Genomic DNA, 22,385 nt, shown 5'->3' on the forward strand with positions numbered 1-22,385 from the left:
GCTTGAATCCAGGAGATTGAGACTGCACTGAGCTGTGATCGCACCACTGCACTCCAGCCTGGGCAACAGAATGAGACTCTGTCTCCAAAAAAAAAAAAAGGAAGAAATTTTTTTTTAATGTCTAATGCAGTTGTTTTTTCACTATCCCTTTATTCTTATTTCTTAATTATAAGAAAACTTAGGGCCGGGCACAGTGGCTCACACCTATAATCCCAGCACTTTGGGAGGCCGAGGCGGGTGGATCATGAGGTCAGGAGTTCGAGACCTGCCTGGCCAATATGGTGAAACCCTGTCTCTAATAAAAATATAAAAATTAGCCGGGTGTAGTGGCATGGACCTGTAGTCCCAGCTACTTGGGAGGCTGAGGCAGGAGAAATGCTTGAACCCGGGAGGCAGAGGTTGCAGTGAGCCAAGATCACGCCACTGCACTCCAGCCTGGACAACAGAGTGAGACCCTGTCTCAAAAGAAAAAAAGAAAAGAAAGAAAAGAAAAAAGAAAAAAAAAAGAAATGAAAAGAAAAGAAAACTTAATATATGTTAAAGGAAAAAAACATTTTACCCGGCTGGTAAAACTTTCCTGGTTAGCTGAGAACTAAAGCCATGAGAGTGGATGAAAGAGAATCAAAAAAAGAGGTGAAAGGACTTGGCTCAAAATATTACAACTTTAAAACTGAGTACAAACTTCCAAAGAGGTGGGAAGAAAATCAGGAAAGTATGATGTCCTGCAAGTCAAGTATCCAAGAAAGTGAATTAGAGAACGAAGTGATCAGTGATAGAATATTCTACAGATAGGTCAAGTAAGATGAGGGCTGAGACCAGACCACTAGATTTAGCAGCATGCAAGTTACTGGCAACTTGGACTAGAGCCCTTTCAGTGGTGTGGTTGCAATAAAAACCTGGCTGCGTGGGTTTAAGAGGAGAACTGATATAATCAGATATAATCAAATATAAACAACGCTACTGAGTTTTGCTTTAAAGGAAAAGAAATTCAGCAGTTGCTGGCAAAGTGAGGTCAAGAGTATTATTTTTAAATAAGTGGAAGAACAGCTTAACTGTATGCTGACGGGACTAATCCAATAAAGACAGAAAACTTGATGATCCCAGAGAGAGGGAAGAGAATTGCTGGATCCATGTCCTAAACAGACTAGCAGAGATAGGACCTAGTATACAACTGGAAGGTTCACCTTATATAGGAATGCAAATGCTTCATGAGTGAGGGGACAGTTTATTCATACTGATGAGAGAAAGTGGGTAAATACGGGGGTGGGAAATCCTCTCCTGATTGCTTCAGTTTTGCACATATCATCTGGTACTTATGACTTGTAAGCAAAAGCCAAAAGAAGCAATTTAACAACAGCATGGCATTCTGGGAGCCTAGATGGCAGAGTATTAGGGCTGCTTTCTCACTTGCCCTCTGGGTTTCTGTTCTCTAAAATCCTTGCAATCACTAAATGGCATAACTTTTTCTACAAAAGAAAGGCAGGAAATTGGGGGGCACAAAAGAGTCACTGATCCATACTGACTCTGAAATCTAGCAGGGCAAACACTGAAAGTTCCTTGATTAGGTCTCAACACTGGGAAAAGAATTCTCCATGACTTTTGCCTTCATCTCTAGGCTCCTGCTTCCAACCTCTGAGTCATCTTTCCCTTTTGATGAAAGGTGGCATGTGTTAGCTCCTGAGCACTTTCTCAGCCTGCTTCCTGCCAGCAGAATGCTAGGGGTGTCCGACAGCCTCTTTTCATTTTGTACTGTTTCTTTTCCTGTTCAGTCCTAGCTACAGTGGATTTCCTGCATATCTCACCACAATAGACAAAAGCTATACCCATAGATCTCTCCAAGAGGAACTCTTCTACCTCTACCTTGGGCTCCTGCTAAAAAGGCTAGAAGCCCTATTGTTTGACGGAGAGGCCTTGAGTGTGACTGAAGAGGATGCTAAGGCACTACCTTCTCAGGTCTTAACAGCAGGCTTTAAAGGCACAGTCTTGGCTTTATCTTTAGACCGCCATTCTCCCCGGAGTGGCTCTTGAATTGATCTTTGCCGTGTCTCAATTTCATCACCCTCTGCCAACCAGAAAGGCTGAGAATTTTCAAAATCATCAAGTTCTGGCTCCTTTTTTAACAGTGCTTCCCTCAATTTATTTATTTCCCCTCATACTTTAAGCAGCAAGAAGGAACCAGAGGGGATCTGCAATGTTTTGTTTAGAAGTTTACTTAGCTAGATCTCTCAGTTCATGAAACACACTTTCTGCTTTCCACAACTATAAATGATAGTGTTGCTAAACTTTCTACCACTACATAACAAGGATCCCCTTTCTTCCAGTTTCTTTCCTTTAAGACCTCGTGACAATCGCCTCAAAGTCCCATTTTTATAATGTGTTCAAGGTATTCTAATCTTATACTAACACTCTCCTTAAAAGTCCACTGCCCAGTTTCAAAGTCACTCCCAGTTTAGATTTTCACCAAAAAGCACCCCACTATTGGTACCAAAATCTGTAGTTATCTCTTTTTTTTTTTTTTTTTTTTTTTTTGTGATACAGGGTCTCGCTCTCTTGCTCAAGTTCTTGCTCTCAGCTCATTGCAGCTTACACCTCCCAGGCTCAGGTGATCCTCCCACCTCAGCCTCCCAAGTAGCTGGACTACAGGCACGCACCACCTTGCCCAGCTAATTTTTGTATTTTTAGTAGAGATGGGGTTTTGCTATGTTGCCCAGGCTGGTCTCAAACTCCTGGGCTCAAGCGATCCGCCTGCCTCGGCCTCACAATGTGCTGGGATTACAGATGTGAGCCACCACACCCGGCCTAGTTATCTATTTCTATGTAACAATTCATTTTCAATCACAGTAGCTTAAAACAGCATTTATTATCTCAGTTTATGTGGATCAGAAATCCAGCTGGGTAAGCTAAGTGCTTCTGGTTCAGGGACTCTCACAAGGCTGCAGTCAAGGTGTTGGCTGGGGCTGCAATCATTAAAGCTTGACTATCAAGGATCCACCACCAAACTCACTCACCTGGCTGCTGGCAGGTCACTAGCTGTTAGGCCTAGACATCACTGGCTCTTGGGCCTTCCCACAAGGCTACTTAACAGTGTAGGGGCTCTGAGAGAAAGGTAGAGAGGGCAAGCACCCAAGATAAAAGCCACAGTCTCTTTGTAACCAAATCTTAGAAGTGACATCTCATCAATTTTCCATATTCTATGCATTCAAAGTGAGTCACTAGGTCCAGCCTATAAGGGGAAGATAATACACAAGGGTATGAATATCAGGAGGTGGGGATCACTAGGGACCATCTTAGATGCTGCCTATCACAGACTAGCTGAATGTATTACAACATATTGGTTAAGAGTACTGACTCTGAAGCAAGACTGCGCATTTGAATCTTCCTTCCCCGTTGTAAGATGAAACAAGATAATAGTAATGAAAGCATCAGACCCAGTGCCTCCTATCATAGGAGGCACTTGGGAATTTGTTTTCTTATCTCTTCCAATCCCAACTGCCTTTAACAATCGAAAATTTCTCCAGTTTGAATATTATCTGCAAACATCCAATATTAGAGCAACTTGTTGAGCAACATGCAAAAATGGTTTTGATTTTCAATGAATCCAAGAAACTTATTTTTAATAACCTTAATTTAATAAAATTAAACACAAAAATAAAAATAAATATCTAAAATTACTTAAATATAGCAGAGGAGAACACAGACACAGCAACAACTGATCTTCCCAACACGTGCTCTGACCACCTACCCCTGCCCAGCCTTTGGCATCTACTGTACTGTTTAGTGAGACCTTCAGTCCCACCTTGCCAAAAAAACCATGATGTTTTTTACCTAACTGGCAATTTCAAGTACTGTACAAGAAGCAGAATAAATAAATCATTAAGAATATTTTATGTGAATGTCAATTTATCTAAGAAATAATACTTAACAATTCTACTGGGAAAAATCATGCCCATTTTACAGATGAGACACAAGAGCATAAAGATCATCTGTCTAATCATATGGCAGGCTAATGACTAGGCCAGGGACAGAAATGTAACTAGCGTATGATGAGAAACACAATGAAACCATAGTCAGTTTTCTGATTTTCATGGATACAAGAATCTTGCCAGTGATTAAAGTTCATCTCACACACTCAGGAAAAATAATTTGACAGTTATTTTAGGGAATGAAAGCTAGGTCGTTTCCCCGCATAAACAACATAAGCTTCTGACTCTTACCTCCCTCTTGATTTATTTAACCTCTGAATAGATGGTCTATATTTAAATAAGCAAGTAAAACACCGTACAAGTTAATACACAATGAAGACAGTACAGAGCCTATAGATTTGGGTTAAGTGAAACCCAAACCTAATTTTTTTTTTTTTTTTTTTTTTTTTTTTTTTGAGACAGAGTCTCACTCTGTTGCCCAGGCTGGAGTGCAGTGGCACGATCTGGGCTCACTGCAACCTCCACCTCCCGGGTCCACGCCATTCTCCTGCCTCAGCCTCCTGAGTAGCTGGAACTACAGGCACCCACCACCACATCCGGCTAATTTTTTGTATTTTTAGTAGAGACGGGGTTTCACCATGTTAGCCAGGATGGTCTCGATCTCCTGACCTCGTGATCCGCCCACCTCAGCCTCCCAAAGTGCTGGGATTACAGGCGTGAGCCACCGCGCCCGGCCCAAACACAATATTTTAGTTGAACACTTTGCTACCCAGACAGTTCATTATACCTAGAATATCCAATTAACTTTTCAACCAATATCTGTGGAATGTCTATTCTATGCTGGCCTTCAATTACAAGTAACATATGTTCTCTTATTTAATAATAGTGAAAGATGCTAAAAAAAAATGTGTGAAGAGGAGCACCAAGTTCTCACATTCAGAAAAACCTATTAATTCTAAACAGGAATGTAATGCTTTCAACTGGATTACAACTTTTAAAAGCAATATAGTCATGTGCTGCTTAATGCCAGGCACACATCCTGTGAAATGTGTTGTTAGGTGATTTCATAGTTGTGAGATCATCATAGAGTGTACTTACATAAACTCAGATGGCCTAGCCTACTACACACCTCGGCTATACGGTATGTACGACCTATTGCTCTTAGGCTACAAACATGTACAGCAGGTGACTACTGAATACTCTACTGTGGGTAATCGTAACACAATGGTATTTATGTACCTAAACACAGAGAAGGGACAGTAAAGATACAATTGTTATTTATACACTCTTATGAAACCACCGTAAGATTGAACTGCATTGACTGATGCCTTCAACTGCATTGACTGATGCATTGAACTGCACTGATGAATGATGCAGTTCATAGCTACCTGAAACGTCTTTATGTGGTACACGACTGTACAGTTTTCCAGAACCAAGAAGGAGAAAGGGGAGTTAGTGAAGTAAGACTACAACTCCTAAAATATATTTTTGTCGTTGTTGGGAAAAGGACCAGAGGAAATATATCTTGGGTGTTTAATCCTCCACCCTCCCTCTCCGTCTTGTCAATATGTGTGCTTTGACCACGCTGATTTTCTGCTCCTCCAAACGAACAATTTAAAATCTACTAAGTATTTACTTACTTGGTTCCAAATTTAGTCCTTAATTTATATATTTTACAACAACAAAATTCCATATTCTGATTTGAAACATGACCAGAAAGAGATAGTTGTTTAACATTAAATGTCATATTAAAACAAATAGTAAAGGCGGCTTTCCTAAATAACTGAAGCTTGCCATATTTTAGCATTCATGCGTAAGCCTTTCCTATCTACTTAAAATCTTTATTCTCATTGTCAAACCCTGACCTCAAGGCCCTTTTACCTCATACCTGAACAACTACAATGGTAACTGTTCTCTATGCCTTTTCTGATCCCATCTCCTGCACTTCCTTGCCCTCCCACGCCCTGGAGGTCATGGGCTATTCTCAGCAAACTCCTCTACACACTCACCTCTCTTCTGTGATATTCTCTTTACTCTTTTGATCTTAAGGAAACCAGACTGCCCCTGAGATTACTGTTGCTTCTACAGTAAACACTTTTTTCTTACTCATCACATACCTCAGCAGGGGCAAGCATCGGCCTTACTCCCCATTACCATATAGTGTTGGACCTTCCAGATATCCTCTTCCTTCCTTCCCAATACTGCTTCCAAACCACTTCTCTTCCCTCCAGGCAAACTGCACCTGTCCCCTGCTAAATAGGGCTCCCTGATTTCATCTCCATTGTTAGTCTTATCACTCTGATAACTTCAACAGCCACATAGATTCAACATTTTGGCCTTCTTTTTGAAGTCTTTAGCACCAACTGTATTTTTCCACCACCTCACCTAAAGCCATTCACCTAGCATCATATTCTAATACAATCATTACCTACAAAAATTTCAAGTATTCTATTATCACACCATCAAGCGTTTGCTTACAATAGTAGTTTGACCCCTGTGGCAATTCTCCAGCCTCCTTAAGATCTATAGTTTACAGGCTGATGTACCACTTTTTCACTATTACTCCTTCTTATGTTCTACCTCCCTCCTAAGCCAGTTTAGATCCTATGGCCTCATACTACACAGAGTCCTCTCCAAAAAATCTTAATTTCCTTGTCCTCTTTTCCCTTAGTCTAACTCATTTGGCAGCTCCAACTATGTACTTATTCCTCTCCTGCATTTAAATAACAGAAGATTGCTGGATAAAACTCACACAACTGACTCGCCACCACATACATCAAATTTATGATCACAAATCTTAGGCCTACTTCATCTCTGTAGTAAATTTACTCCCCATTTTTTTGAGATTACTATTTTATACCTTGCTTCACTCCTCAAATCTGCAATATAGTAGTCATGTATCACTTAACAACAGGAATGTGTTCTGAGAAATGCATCACTGAGCAATCTGATTGTGTGAGAACATCAAGGTTCCGTGTGCTTACACCAACCTAGATGGTCTAGTCTACTACATACCTAGGCTATACAATACAGCCCATTGCTCTAGGCTATTGTCTTAGTCCATTTAATGTTGCTATAAAGGAATACCTGAGGCTGTGTAATTGATAAAGAAAAGAGGTTTATTTGGCTCACAGTTCTGCAGGTTGTGCAAGAAGTGTGGCACTGGCACCTGCATCTGGTGAGGGTCTCTGGCTGCTTCCTTCCACTCATGGCAGAAAGGGAAGAGGGGTTGAAGTCAGCAATGACCTCCATATTGCTAAACTCAGGCTTCTGCCCTCATCATTCCACCAAAATAACCCTTGCTAAAGTCACCAATGACTTCCATATTGCTAAATCCAAGGACAGTTTTCAGTGTCTTGCCACAATCTCTTATCTTGATTTCCTAATGTCCTGGTTTTCCTCCTTAAGAATAAGGTCTTTAAAACCTAGTTCCCTGCTTCCTTTGAAAATCTTGGCCGGGCACACTGACTAAGTCCTGTAATCCCAGCACTCTGGGAGGCCAAGGTGGGCAGATCTCTTCAGGTCAGGAGTTCAAGACCAGCCTGGCCAACATGGTGAAACTCCATATCTATTAAAAATACAAAAATTAGCTCGGCGTGGTGTGGGTGCCTGTAATCCCAGCTACCTGGGAGGCTTGAGGCAGGAGAATCGCTTGAATGCAGGAGGCGAAGGGTGCAGTGAGCCAAGATCATGCCACTGTGCTCCAGGGTGGGTGACAAAGCAAGACTCCATCTCAAAAAGGAAAAGAAAAGAAAAGAAAATTCATTCTTCTCCAGGCATTAACTTCTCTTCTTGCTCTACATTCCTCCCTAGACCGTTATCATTTTAAGCCATTATGAGACCCGCTCGGGGCATGCAGGTTTCTCACAATAGAGGAAAGCCTCTGTCTTTCCTTCTGTTTCCAGACCTAGGTGGCCATGTAAGCAATATTTCCTCTTGAACATCTCAAAGTTACCCAAGTACTAAATCCAAAACCAAACCCATGATCCCTTTCATCTTCCCTCCTACAAAAACCTGGTCCTCTTCTAAATTATAACATCCTGTCAATTTTACCTTCTGAATCTCTCAATACAGTTCCGCTTCCCTCCAGCCCATTCTATCATGACCTTCCCTGTCACTCAGACTCTTACACAACAATCACCTAACTTCTCTCTGCACTTTTACTCTCCTCTAATCTATGTAGGTATCTTTTTAAAAAATCTAATTATAAACTTCACTTCACCCTACTCCCAATCCTACTTAGAATCTTTTAATGGCTTTTCACTGTCAAGTACGGTACCTATCACGGCATCTGACCTTAAATGTTATCTGAACTGAGCCATTGTCTACATTTTGTGATAATTCAATTTACTATTAAGTCTAGTTCTCTAATTGTGTAGAGCAATTAGAGTGGCAAAATAGTGATAAAAAGCACTAAATGACTAACGTGAAACCTGAATAAGGTGTTGTTATTAGCTTATTTTTGCCTCACACAAAAGAACTTCCAGAAACTTTCACAGATTATCTCTATAATCTCTTGGTCCCATTTTAAAGATTAGGAAACATGCTCAGAAAGATGATACACTGACAAATGGCACAACCAAGACCCGAAACTGTATCTTTTGACTCACAGTCTGTGACTTTCAAGTTTTATGATAAAGCCATCAGTTACTTGCTACTTCATTTCTAAAATGACTGATATGCATTTTTCTAAGATTATTCCATGAATGTTCCTAAGAATATATCTTTTTCGTAACCTGAAAAATCAAGGTATACACAGTTAAGTAATTGTCTCAAGTAACGAAGGGTGATGAAAACAGAATTCAGGTTTCCTTATTTTCATTTCTCTACTCTAGCCTTGTACCATGCTGAATGCTAGTACAGGTAGTGTCCCTCATCTGTGGGAAATATATTCCAAGACCCCCAAGTAGATGCCTGAAACTTTGGGTAGTACTGAATTCTATATATACTACGATTAAGTTTAATTTGTAAGTTAGGCACAGTAAGAGATTAATGATAACTAATAATAAAACTGAATAATTATATACTATAATAAAAGTTACACGAATGTGGTTTCTTTATCTCTCTCAAAATATAATACTTTTGAAGTGTGATTGACCTTGGGTAACTAGAGATACAGAAAGTGAAGCCATGGATAAGGGGGACTACTATACTGATAAACTGGAAACCACTGAACAAATACAAGACGAGGCTAATTGTGGTATAGCAAGTTTTAGGGATGGACAAACCACAGTTCAAATTCTAACTCTGACAATTGCAAACTGTGTGACTTTGCAAGTTACTGAAATATCTGCTTTCTCATCTGTAAAATGAAGATAATAGCTAACACTCAGGTGCACTGAGGAGTAAATGTTATCACTCAATAGACAGTTTAAAATAAAATAAAATGAAACAAAAAAAAATCAGGTTCTCCCAAAAGAAGCTAGCATAAAATGAAATAAGAGCCATAGTTTTTAAAAGATGAGATTGCGTTTCCAGGTCTGCCATTTACTGCTTGTCATATACTCTCTCATGGTTGCTTTCCTCACCTGTACAATAGGGATAATGATACTTAGTCCTTAGCAATGTTGTGAGGATGAAATAGCACATAAAAGGATTTCACTTATGTATGTTAATTGAATAGCATATAAAAATCATTATTATCTGTGTAGACAGATTCGAATAGCATTCAAAAATCATTATTACCTGTGCATACAGATTCTCTACCATGGTGTTATAAATTTGTTAAGGGCACACTATGTCTTCGCTCTGTTGCCCAGGCTGGAAAGCAGTGGCGTGATCTCGGCTCACTGCAACCTCCACCTCCCGGGTTCAAGCAATTCTTCTGCCTCAGCCTCCTGAGTAGCTGAGACTACAGGTGCGTGCCACCATGCCCAGCTAATTGTTTGTATTTTTAGTAGAGACGGTGTTTCACCATGTTAGCCAGAATGGTCTCGATCTCCTGACCTCATGATCCGCCATCCTCGGCCTTCCAAAGTGCTAGGATTACAGGCGTGAGCCACTAAGGCCGGCCAGGGCACACTATGTCTTTAATCTTTAATCATCTTTGTATTTGCAACAGCTGGCTCTACCCATTATGGGCATTCATTAAATGTTGGCTGAACTGATTTATTAAGAAGACAGAATTGAACTATGAAAAAACAACAGTTCAAAATAAAATCCAGAAGTTCATCCATATAGAGCATGAATAAGAGAGGGCCTGGTGCCTGTCCAGCTAAGACTGCACAGACAGGGAGAACATATCCTGTTTTCTGGTAATTTAAGTAAGTGGTCTATAATTATGTTTATTGGATATAAATTACATAATCATCAAACAAGTAAGTTGCCTCAGTACAGGAATCATATCTGTCTGTCTCTTTCCCTGTTTTTGATGATGGCGAGAGAGGGAAAATAAATGACATAATGAATGCTTAATAGTACTGTGCAACGCAAAAAAAAAAAAAAAGTTTACAACAAATAATGGGGATTTTTCTCCATCAGGAGGCAACCTTAACAAGGGCTCCCGAGCCACGAGTACTTAACATACAAACTAAGAGGAAAAATATTTCACAAAAAACTAGTTTGTGTTTATCAAAGTTCTCCCTAGATGAATTCAAAGATACCCTCAACGTGATACAGAAAACACTTCGGAGTGGTGAGTAGTCTGCCTATGCAAATGTTCAAAGCAAAAAGTTGGCTTGTACTAGTTATTTACTGAGCATCTATTGTGTGCCATTCACTATGTTAAGTATATTCATAGATTATCTCAAATCTTCACAACAATCCTGAGTGCCACTATTTTCCCTATATGACAAATGAAACTGAGGCTCAGAGAGGTTAAGTAACTTAACAGTCATACACTTGGAAATGGCAGGGGTGGGATTTAGACCTAGTGAGGTTTCTGAAACCCGTATTCTTTTCACCACCTCATGCTGCCAACTGACGCTACCAAATTCACTAAAAAAGAGGATGACTCAACAGGAAAGCGGGGAGAAAATCTGGCAAAGCAGCATAGAGAGCGCACAAGATAGCATTCTATCTCAGAGTTCTAGACACACAGGAGCAAATTAATGAGCTGCATCTAACTACACAAATGAAAATGCTTGGATAAGCTGTAACTTTTACTCTTCAATTCTACAGGTTCTAAAAATGCCCATCTGCACCAATTCAGAGGTACTGACAACTGAACATAGTCCAGTAATTTTTCTAGAATACTCAGAAAGAGTGCCTTTGACCCATTACTGGTACCAAACCAAGCATGCAAGGGAGGTGATACAGTATGTTTGACAGTTTTCTCTGATCACCTAGACCTAAACATCCTTGCAGAACTGGGCATTTTTCAGGCATATCTACTGTTACATAAAATTCACTTCATGGAATTTCAGAATCAGAAGAGGTTCAGTTCAATTATCTTACGCATGTGGAAACTGAGTCTCAGAATAGTTATATGACTGCCGAAAGTCACATGGCTTGGTACTGGCTAAACCTACACTAAAACTCTCATCTCCTATTCCTAGTCCACAGCAGCTCCTCTGTGCCTCCCACTGAATGCGTGACCACCAAGGCTTCCTTCTATGTATCTGGGCATTATTCGCTATAGCTCCTTCTGCACGTCCTCAATGAAGTAAACAAAGGCATTGGGCTAGATGACACAAATAATAAAAGAGATAGAGCTGACCTGCTTTTTGCCCTCTAGGCAGTGCTACCCAAGCCTTCAGGTGTCATGGCATACATAGGAAATATTTTTATAGCACAAAGTGGTAAACAAATTAGGGTGCACATGATCAAAGTGACCAGGGGACTCCCAAGCCCCAGCTGGCTGCTCCAAGGGTTGTGGGGTATAGTAATCTTGGCATATTTCTATCTCAATCTGGCATGTAGCATTGGTAGGGAAGCTCTGTTCCAGGGTTAATAAGTAAAAAAAAAAATTGAGATAAATACACAAGTAACTGTAACATAAGCACAAAGGAAATAACTAAGGAGACTGTCACTGTCTGCTTTCATCAAACATAAGTGAGTGAAAATGAGATTAATTCAACTTGCTTCCTTTCATAACTCCTCTTCCAAACAAATCAAAAGACAGAACAGCCCATCCTTCAGGTCAACAGGGCTGATCAATCCCACCCACAAGGCTGCAAAGAGCCTGCACAGATGACTAGTTTACAGGGAGGCGAAAACTACTTAATGCACATTAGTGTGTCAGAAAAGTTCTGAGCTCTTACAAATACTACAAAAAAAATCAATAGAGAAGAGAAAATAATATTTCAAGGTCATATTTAAACATGAAGGGAGAAGCACGAAAAGCAGCCCCTCCGAACATACACACATACATATACATCTTCTGTGAACAAGCTCCATCTCTGCAAACGCAGTTAACATTTGCTTTCTGATAATTTATAAATTTAGCCTGTGTTAGCCAAGTAGGTTCCTGCAATTCCAGACATCTGGGCTGAAGGGCAAAGGGCAAAGGGAAACTTTCAAAAAGCTGGTTAGTAGCCAAGAGCATCACATCTAGTAGGCTCCCTTAGCAACACACAACAGCTGTTTGCTCAAGAGACATACTGCCATCTTTGCAACGGACTGTAAGATGTTCTTGTCTTAACAACTAAAAATTGCAGGCGGCTTGGGGGAGCAGTTTCTCTATTATTTCCCCTGACATTTCTCTAAAAGTTATCACATTTCATAATTTACAAACTTCTCCAGTCCCAGAAAGTTTCTCTCCATCCCAAACTACAATGCTACTATTGACGGTAAATTACAGTAATAGAAGGTACTACATTCCTGGCAAATATAAAATGCTTTATAATGTCTCATTATTAATTACTATTCTAACTGCTATAGACTTGATTTCTAACTACGGGCAAGTCACTCTTTGTGGCTTAATTACTTTCCTCACACAATTTTAATAACAGTAGTGAGTGACCTATTTCACAAGACTATTGTGAAGGATAGTAAAAATTATTAGATAAAAGCTTATGAAAGCTTATTCCTAATTAATAATCATGCCGCCTATTGGCTCTCAATATCTAAAGACATGGCTTAACAAGGTCAGTACCCCCAAAACAAAACACAAGTCGATCCTGAGCCACCAGGAAGACTGCAGTTCCTGAAGCAACCAGCTCACAACTTCACCTGCCCCACTTGCCTTCTCCAAACCTACCAAGCCCAGGGGATGGTACTGCGCAGGGAGTTCAGCCCTTGCGCCTAAGTCTGACAAGATAAACAACATAGGGGGAGGAAAAAAAACAATGTCACAATCACCGCTAGGTTTTAAAAACCTAACACCTTGGAACAGAAGGGGATGTGGCAGTCTGTGCTCTGTGGGGAGGCCATTTGTGCAACAGCAGAACCTCGCAGCTTTCCACTCCTTATATGTGCAAGTGCAAACCCTCACCCACAGCACTCTGTACTCACCCAGAGGTACATCATGTCAGATCGGGCTGCTCAAACTCAGCGGTCAGTGGATCCTGGACTGCAAAAAGGCACTTCAGTGAACCACAGGAAAGAAGATGCCAAAACTGGGGGGCAAGAGTTTGAGGTGGGGAGAAACCCCCCAAAATCACTTGAGTTAAAAAATCCTAAAAAAAAAAAAAAGAAAAGACTGGTCTCCTCCCCCCTCCGCTCCAGCTGACTGTTCTGTTGTTCTCTCTCCTCCCTCTCACCCTCCCTCCGTCCCTCCCTCTCTCTCTCTCTCTTTCTCTCTCTCTCTCTGGGAGTTCCCAGCTCTGAGTATCTGAACTAGAGTGTACAGCACACTCTCTCTGTATTTGCCTTCAGGGAATCTCTCTCTGCAATTCTACTTCTAGAAACACAATCACCACTCACAAAGATTATTGCAAAAGACAGGGATGGGTGGGGTCAGTAATAAACCACCAGCACCAGTTTCTAGTGCTAGATATACATTAGTTTAAGATGAGTTCTTTAAACATGAATGAAGCAATCAAAAATCTCTGCCCTCTAAGATCAAGGCAAGTGAGCCAAGCTTTCCCTCTGCCCCAATTGTGGAGCCCCTTGCAGAAGCCAAGCACACACACAGAACCTGCTCAGAGCCCACATTCCTTTCTCACAATGTGTGCTTGACACCACTATTCTTTACGTCATTTCACCACTAATAATTCTTAATCTTGCAAGATTTCAAAACACAGGAAAACTTAAGATATAAAACTGAATAGGCTTTTCATCTTTTTTATTACTACTGCCCTAGTTCACATCAACATAGCCTGGCTTCTGAAGGAGTCAAGTGGATCATGAGCTCGTAGCATGGTACAGACACTTTACTCACCACGCAGACGGGCTAAGGTGCACGGCTTGGGTTTCAATTCTAGATCTACAAGTACTATCATTATGGCCTGGGGAAAGTTTCCAACCTGTCCAGGCTTCTGTTTCCTCTACCAAAAAATAGGTTTAATACTCCTTTCAGAGGTGTTGTAATGATATAACTACGTAAACTGTCTGCCATGTTCCTGGTGACCATGTTTTCTAATTTTAATTCAGTTCAAACATTTATTAAGTACTTCCTATATGCCAGGCGAGTTTTCATTCATTATGCCCAGTGGTGAACAAGTATTATCAAATCACCTGTCCTAATGGTTTTTATTCAGAAAATCACGTAATTATCCCCCATATTCTAATGCCAATGTCAATGCCCATACGTGTTCCTTGCTTCCCCGACCCCTTTCTCCATGTTCAAATCCAAAAGCAAACCCCAGCTGTGAGTGAGCTCTCCTTTCTCTGTGGGGACTGGTGTTTGTAACATGGCATTGACCACCTCTGTGGGCTACTTCTCCAAGTATTCCTATAGCAAACCACTTCTCCTCTGCACATCTTCCTCAGTGGAGACCTAACATCTCGTCTTGGCTCATCCATTTTTGGCCATGGAGTCTTTTGCATAGTACCTAGCACACAGTAGGTGCACAAAACATTCTCAAACGGTAACAGGTTTTGAGGAATATTCCACTCCTTCCCACTCATTAAAGAAAACACAAAACAAAATAAAAAGCAAACAAAAACCACCTTCCAGCTGCCTCAGGGTTTTGGCTCCCCCTCAGACATGCTGAAACAGCTCCTTCCTGCTTATAAAATCTCCAAGTAAGGTCTACAAGTCTCACATTCAAGGTAGGCCCCATGCAGGTACTTTCACTCTCCCTACCTAATATTCCCACTGTGCGTGCTCTGGGCTTAGTTACCTGCCATAGTGGGGTTTCTTCCTCTTAGGGTAGAAATAGAATCACTTTTCCTTTTCTTTCACACTGAACGCATGCTTTCCGCAGACGAACGTTTTCTCTCCTCCCACCTTAAACTCCCAGCTCATTTAAACTTGGAGAGGTGGGGCAGGTATTCTTCTTGGCCTCACCCAAACCTTTTCTTTTTCTCTACATAGAACCTCTCTGCTTCTTCTGAAGGCAAGATTACTACATTTCTAGTACAAAAGAGGAGAAAGAACTTCCAAGCCTGAAACTGAGATAGCCTGTTTTCTAAATAAAAGAAAAAAAGAAAAATAAATCTTGACTTTCCATAAAGTGTTACTTAGACTCTTTTACATGTCCATAATCAGTTTTTATACACAACTTTCCTCTCTAGTTACATGGCTCATGCCCTAAATCTTAAGTCACCAACACTCCCCATACCATACTGTAAATAACTATATTAAAATTACACTGATAAGAGATTCATTTTTTCAAATTCTTTGAAGAGTCTTTTATTACTCGACACTCATTCTTTTTTTTTCTTTTTAACCTCAAATGTTTTAATGGTGGGATCTTATTCACTGTGTACAGGATTCTCTAAAGAGACCACCTGGCTGGGTGCTCAAACCACACGGGCTGACCCAAAAGACACCAAAACCAAGAGTTGCTCGGGAGGCACTAAATGTTGACGGTCTTGGCCAGCTTCACATCCTCAATTTCAGCAGACAGCCAGCAGTAAGTGTGATGAAGCCGCAGCACCTCAATGGCCTTGAGTTCCAGTGGTGTTGCCTGAATACCAAGGTCTTCTAAGCTGGGCAGGTGAGACAAGGTCATGTCTGTGATGTGAATACGCTCCACTTTATCCCTTGTTGTCCAGGACTCAAATGGGCTTATTTCAAAGTCTCTTGCTACCCACTGATAGGCAAAAGGTGGCAAGGGGTACGGGAGGAAGTACCCCTTTGCTGTGAGCCACAGCAAAGATGTACTTCACCAGGTCAAAGAGGAGATATCGATTTGGCCCAACGAAAGCAAAGGTTTTCCCATTGGCATCAGGATCCTTAACTGCATTAACAATTCCTTTGGATACATCTACGACGTATACTGGTTGTTTAACTGCCTTCCAGCCCAAGGAAACAAGGGGTATAGCACCAAACCAACACATATTTGCAAAATAATTAAGGAATCTATCCTCTCTTCCAAAGATGTCCAACAGCTTTACGATAATGGCTTCTGGAAATGTGTCTCTCACTGCTTTCTCTCCAACAGCCTTCTTTCTCAAATATCTAGAAGAGCTTTTAATATTCACATTCAGATGTGCAACATGAATGAATTTTCCAACTTCAGCTTCCTTGGACACCTGAGCAATTGCTTGGGGAATCTTCACAAAAACATCCTCAAAATCAAAGTTTTTGGTTTCCCAGTCTCGTCCAACAAGATTTATGACCACATTGCTGTGTTCCACTACTCGTCAGATAGAATCTTTATCTCTCGCGTCCCATTCCAGAAACAGAAGCTAGCCCAGGTCTCCCATGGGACGAAGGTGCATGATGTCACATGTATCACACCGATAGGGTATGATCACCTGTGACCCCACGCGTCCAAGGTGGTTGACAACACATCGGCCCAGGAATCCTGTTGCTCCAAACCCAGTGGCCACAATCCCACTGACTTGAGGAACATTCACCTTTCCCATGAGGTATGAGGGCATGATGAAGCTGGCAATGGAGTGGGCTGTGACACACGGATGTGGCTATTGCAGTAATGGCAGAATGTGACATTGGCAGGGCCCAGACAACCCGGGATTGTGCAGCGGCCGCCATCTTCTCCCACAATCCTTTTTTTTTTTTTTTTTTTTTTCTGAGACAGGGTCTCACTCTGTAGCCCAGGCTGCAGTGCAGTGGCGTGATCTCGACTCATCGCAACCTCTGCCTCCCAGGCTCAAGCGATCCTCTCACCTCAGCCTCCAGAGTAGCTGGGACCACAGGCACACGCCACCACGCCTGGCTAATTTTTTTGTATTTTTGGTAGAAACGGGGTTTCACTATGTTGCCCAGGTTGGTCTTGAACTCCTGACCTCAAGCGATCCACCTGCCTGGGCCTCCCAAAGTGTGGGATTACAAGCATGAGCCACCATGACCACTGGCAGTCATTCATTCTTAACCAAGTATCAATAAAATAAATACAATGAAATTCTGGATCTTCATACTGTAATTTTATAGTGTTATCTTTTAATCAAGTTTAGGATAGGATAAAGATAAAAGGTTGGGCGTGGTGGCTCATGCCTGTCATCCCAGCACTTTGGGAGGCCGAGGCGGGCAGATCACCTGAGGTCAAGACCAGCCTGACCAACATGAGAAACCTTGTCTCTACTAAAAATACAAAAATTAGCTGGGCATGGTGGCGCATGCCTGTAATCCCAGCTACTCAGGAGGCTGAGGCAGGAGAATTGCTTGAACCCAGGAGGCAGAGGTTGCGGTGAGCCGAGGTCTAGCCATTGCACTCCAGCCTGAGCAACAAGAGCAAAATTCTGTCTCAAAAATAACATAACATAACATAACATAACATAACATAACATAACATAACATAACATAACAAACATAAAAAATAAAATAAAATAAAATATAAAAGACATACCCTGCAGCAAAGCAGGAGAAAAATACCAAGAAAAGAAACCCTCAAAATAAAGAAAAGTTTAAATATGTCACAAAAACTCTGCAAACTACCTCTGAAACTCCCATGGGTGGAACCACCATAAACTTCTTTGGAACCACAGGAAGGGCTTGTAAATTCCTATTATAAATGCATCTATTTCTTTTCTGATCATAATCTTTAAAATTAGGTGGTCAGTCTGGTCAGAAATAAAACTCTTCTGTATGTTACCTTTATGAAAACATACAAAAACCAAAAACCCACAGGGAAGCTAAGTTATCTTTTTTATTCATGCTCCTGCATGTTCACATTTTTCTACCTTTAAAACAAAACAAAAAAAAAAAAAGAAAGAAAGAAAAAAGGGGGAACAAAGTGGTAGGAGAAGAAAAAAATTTATTTCCAATTATCAAAGTCAAATAAGGAAAGCTATGCTTTATAGCTATATACAATTCACATTAAGAGACAAAAAGGTGTAAAAACTCCACACTATAAAGAGACTCTAAAAAGAATCACAGTCTTATACACAGAGATTAAGATGCACACATACTTCATTCTATCAGGAGAGCATGTTATCAGACTTTGTGACTGATAGCTTATCACCCTATCTGTTAGTTCAGAGGAGAGAATGTGTCCATTTGAGCACTAAAGAAAGTCTTCTGAGGAGGGCCCACAGAAGAAGTTTCTGGCATGCTTGCTTCTGAGAAAGAAAAATCAGATAATCTGGGACAGCAATATGGGTATTGCCAATAATTCTAACCTTGCTTCCTGAATTCCTACATCTCAAAAATGCTGGATTTTGCAATGTGAGTCTGGTGGGCAGAAAGGGTCTGGAGCCACATTTTAGATGCTCTGCCTCTGACTCCAATAATTCAAGAGGCTACTTGTTTTGTTTGTTTTTGAGATGGAGTCTCACTCTGTGGCCCAGGTTGGAGTGCAGTGGCATGATCTCGGCTCACTGCAACCTCCGCCTCCCGGGTTCAAGTGATTCTCCTGTCTCAACCTCCCAAGTGGCTGGGATTACAGGCGCCTGCCACCACACCCAGCTATTTTTGTATTTTTAGTAGAGACAAGGTTTCACCATGTTGGCCAGGCTGGCAGGCTACTTGTTTTATACGAGTTTCTCTGTGGTTGTAAGAGGATAGCGGGGGGAAGTAGGTATACCGGGGGAGCCAGCACAATTTCTCAAAAATGTACCTGAGAAATCAGGCACTAAAAATTCTTCAGAAGAAATCTGAGGCAACCCTCTATACATAGTTTATATTCCTATCACTTCCTGGACTGGTAGAGACAATACAGACTCACCAAAACAACACTGAGGTAGAGAAATGAGATGTATGAGTATTGTCTATGAAGCTGACTTAAAAAAAAAAAAAAAAGTCGAAAGAATGAGGCTCTTTTTCCCTCACTTCCTCTCAGCTTAAAATAGCAGGGATTCCCACAGGGCAATCTCTAACAGAATTCTGCTACTCAAATGTGACACATGGACCAGCAACAGCAGAATGAGCATCAACTGGAAACTCCTTAGATTTGAAGAATCTCAGGCCCCACCCTAGACTTACAAAATCAAAATCATATGATAACAAAAGCCCCAGGTAACTCTCAGGCACACCGAAATCTGAGAAGCTGGTCTAGACAGAGGCACTGGCCACATGCAGCAGTAGCGACTCATGGGAGAAGGCGTAGATATGGCTGCCACTTTCCAGTTAGGGGATGTAAACCACCCTGGAAGACAAAACAGTGAACATTCCTCTCCCACTTGCTGGTTTCAATGTAACACCACCAACCGCTACTATTTACTCAGAGCATATTATGTGCCACAACTTTGCATGCATTATCTCATTGCATCTTCACAATATCTCTGTAAGACAGGCCCTGTTATCTTTTTCACAGATCAAAGGAAATTGAGGCCCAAAGTGGTTACATAATATACTCATGGTCTCACAGCTAGTGAATAAAGAGCCAAAAGTTCAACGTTCGTTTTTAAGACTCCAAGATCATTTCCACTAAATCATACCTATTCACTGACAAAACTGAATCAAGACTGGAAAAAAAATCACTGAAAAACTTACCCTGGATATAAATAACCCTGCACTCTACCTCTGCCCATTACCAAGACTTTAAATAACAAATGAAGCCAGGTGTGGTGATGTGAGCCTGTAATCCTAGCTTCTCAGGAGGCTGAGGCAGGAGGGTTTGCTTGAGCTCAGGAGTTTGAGACCAGCCTGGGCAACATAGTAAAACTCTCATCTCAAGAAAAAAGTAAAAAACAACAACAAACGACAGAGATAGGGTTTGGGAGTTGGTGTACACATACTGTACTTGTGCACTGGCCAAAACACTGCTACTACTGATGTCATTCAGAGAATAGACCCAGAAACTTCTGTGAATGGTGGTTACCTTCTATGATGTCTAAACTAAGCTCTAGATGTATATATACATGGAGAAAGCGGTCCATCTCAAAGCTAGCCTCTTGGGAAAGGCAATTAAGTGATTTGTTAGAGCTCTTACTCCCAGTTATTAGGAAACCCAGAGCTACCACCCCTAAAACAGAAGACTGCATTATCTTGGCTGGGCGCGGTGACTCACACCTATAATCCCAGCAATTTGGGAGGCTGAGGCAGGCGGATCACTTGAGTTCAGGAGTTCAAGACCAGCCTGGCCAACATGGTGAAACCCCATCTCTGCTGAAAATACAAAAATTAGCCAGGTGTGGTGGTGCATCTGTAGTCTCAGCTACTCAGGAGGCTGAGGCAGGAGAATCGCTTGAACCCTAGAGGCAGAGGTTGCAGTCAGCTGAGAATGCACCACTGCACTCCAGCCTGGGCGACAGAGTGAGACTCTGTCTCAAAAAAAAAAGAGAAGAAAAGCTGCATCATCTTAAAAGACCCATCTTTCCTTATTACGTTTCAATTATACTCTCAAAGAACTTCCCTTACTTCTAACTAGCTTTCTCTGGTATCCCCTCCCTACAATTTTTGACGTCATGAAGTCCTCCCATCCCAACCACTTTTCCATTATCTACCCACTCCGGTTCTGCACCCTCTTTGTCCAATTTTGATGCCGTGTTCCATAATTACAATCTCTCCCTTGCAAATACCCTCAATCATTTGTCCTCTCCATCACTGCCACCTGACACAACTCCAATCCTGGTTAAATCCAATTGTCTGCCTTTTCTAGTGCCTATGCCCAATCAGCTGAATGTTGCTGAAGAAAAATCACATAACCAAGCTGACTGACTTCACTATATATTCATGATCACAAACCTCAAATGGACACTCAACGATGCCAAGCAATCCACCAAAGCTGCCCTTGAAAGCTTTCCTACTCCCCAAAATGACTATTTCTTGCTTCTCCTCAAACCTCCCTCATTCACTCTTCACTACCTACTCTCAGCTAATTTTCTTATTTTACTTTTTGTCTGTTTGTTTTGAGACAGGATCTCACTCTGTCGCCCAGGCTGGAGTGCAGTGGTGCGATCATGGCTCACTGCAGCCTTGACCTCCCGGGCTCAAACTATTCTCCCACCTCAGCCTCCCAAGTGGCTGGAACTACATGCACATGCCACCACGCCCAGCTAATTAAAAAAAAAAAAAAAAAATTTAGAGAAGGGGCGGGTCTCACTATGTTGCCCAGACTAGTCTTGAATTCCTGGGTTCAAGCAATCTTCCTGCCCCAGCCTCCCAAAATGCAGGGATTACAGCCATGAGCCACTACACACAACCTCTTAGCTAATTTTCTATGTCATTTTAAATGAGAAGCATTCAGACAGTATCTTCTTACCACTAAATCTAATGTTCTATAATAAGTAAATGATTAAATGAACCCTAATTTTTTTAAAGTTCTCCTTTGACCCCTCATCTCCCTCCAGCTACCTGCTATTTCCCTGCTCACCACTTCAGGGTAAATTATCTTGAAAAAGTTGTTGTCTATATCTGTCTCAATTTCTTCACTTCTCATTTTCTTCAATCTACTCAAAACAAAGTTTCCAAGCCCTCCACTCCATTAAATCAACTTATCAAGGTCTACTACTTCCACATTTATCTGACCTCTTAGCAGGATTCAACAAAGCTGACAATCTTCTTAAAACATTCTCTTCTTCTGGCTTCTGAGATACTACAATGCCATTTTTTTTGTTTTTTCATGCATCACTGGTTACTGTTTCAGTATCTTTTTATGGCTTCTCCCTCGACAGACCTCTAAAAGGCAAGTGTTCCTTGGGGTTCAATCCTGAGTCATCTTCTCTAAGTTGTCTCATCCATTCCCATCACTTCAAATACCATCAACATGTTAATAACTACCAAGTTACACCCCTAGCAGAGACCTCTCCCCATGCTCCAATATGACTACTTAGCTGTCACACAAGCATGTCAAACTCAACATGCCCAAAATTGGGTCCTTAATTCTCCACCATCACCACCCTTGAAGTCCCCTGGTACTACCTGACAATTATGAAAGCCAGAAACCCTTCCTTCACCCCTCATCCCTCACATCCAACCTACAGCAACTTCTGTGTGTGTGACTTCACTTGACCTCCACTGCCTTAAACCACCTTAACCCAAGCCACCATCATCTCTTTCCTGAATATCACACTAGTTTCCCCATTTCCATTGTTGCTCCCTTCCAAAACACCATCACACAGCAGCCAGAG

General features: G+C 41.4%; 1 protein-coding gene and 1 pseudogene across 41 annotated transcripts in view, besides 1 other annotated feature; both read right to left on the bottom strand.

The window, feature by feature from the left end:
- The window catches only part of RBFOX2 (RNA binding fox-1 homolog 2), a 290,089-nt gene that overhangs the window by 142,761 nt on the left and 124,943 nt on the right, over positions 1 to 22,385 (bottom strand). For 7 of the 41 annotated variants that reach the window (XM_047441260.1, XM_047441258.1, XM_024452191.2 and 4 more), the window contains exon 1: positions 13,317 to 13,550. The exons of the other annotated variants lie outside the window; for them this stretch is intronic. In XM_047441260.1, the coding sequence (XP_047297216.1) occupies positions 13,317 to 13,331 (15 nt within the window). In that variant the 5' untranslated portion in view covers positions 13,332 to 13,550. Of the gene's footprint in view, positions 1 to 13,316; positions 13,551 to 22,385 lie in introns of those variants that run through there. 41 annotated transcript variants of the gene reach the window in all.
- Positions 1,402 to 1,903: an enhancer, noted in NCBI's record as "H3K27ac hESC enhancer chr22:36278945-36279446 (GRCh37/hg19 assembly coordinates)". NCBI's record gives its function as "activates a minimal SCP1, AML or CMV promoter by ChIP-STARR-seq in primed H9 embryonic stem cells {active_cell/tissue: H9 hESC(primed)}" and the evidence as "EXISTENCE:reporter gene assay evidence [ECO:0000049][PMID:30033119]".
- Positions 15,636 to 16,921, bottom strand: NDUFA9P1 (NADH:ubiquinone oxidoreductase subunit A9 pseudogene 1; annotated as a pseudogene).

This window comes from Homo sapiens, chromosome 22, assembly GCF_000001405.40.
Source record: "Homo sapiens chromosome 22, GRCh38.p14 Primary Assembly".
Lineage (NCBI taxonomy): Eukaryota > Metazoa > Chordata > Mammalia > Primates > Hominidae > Homo > Homo sapiens.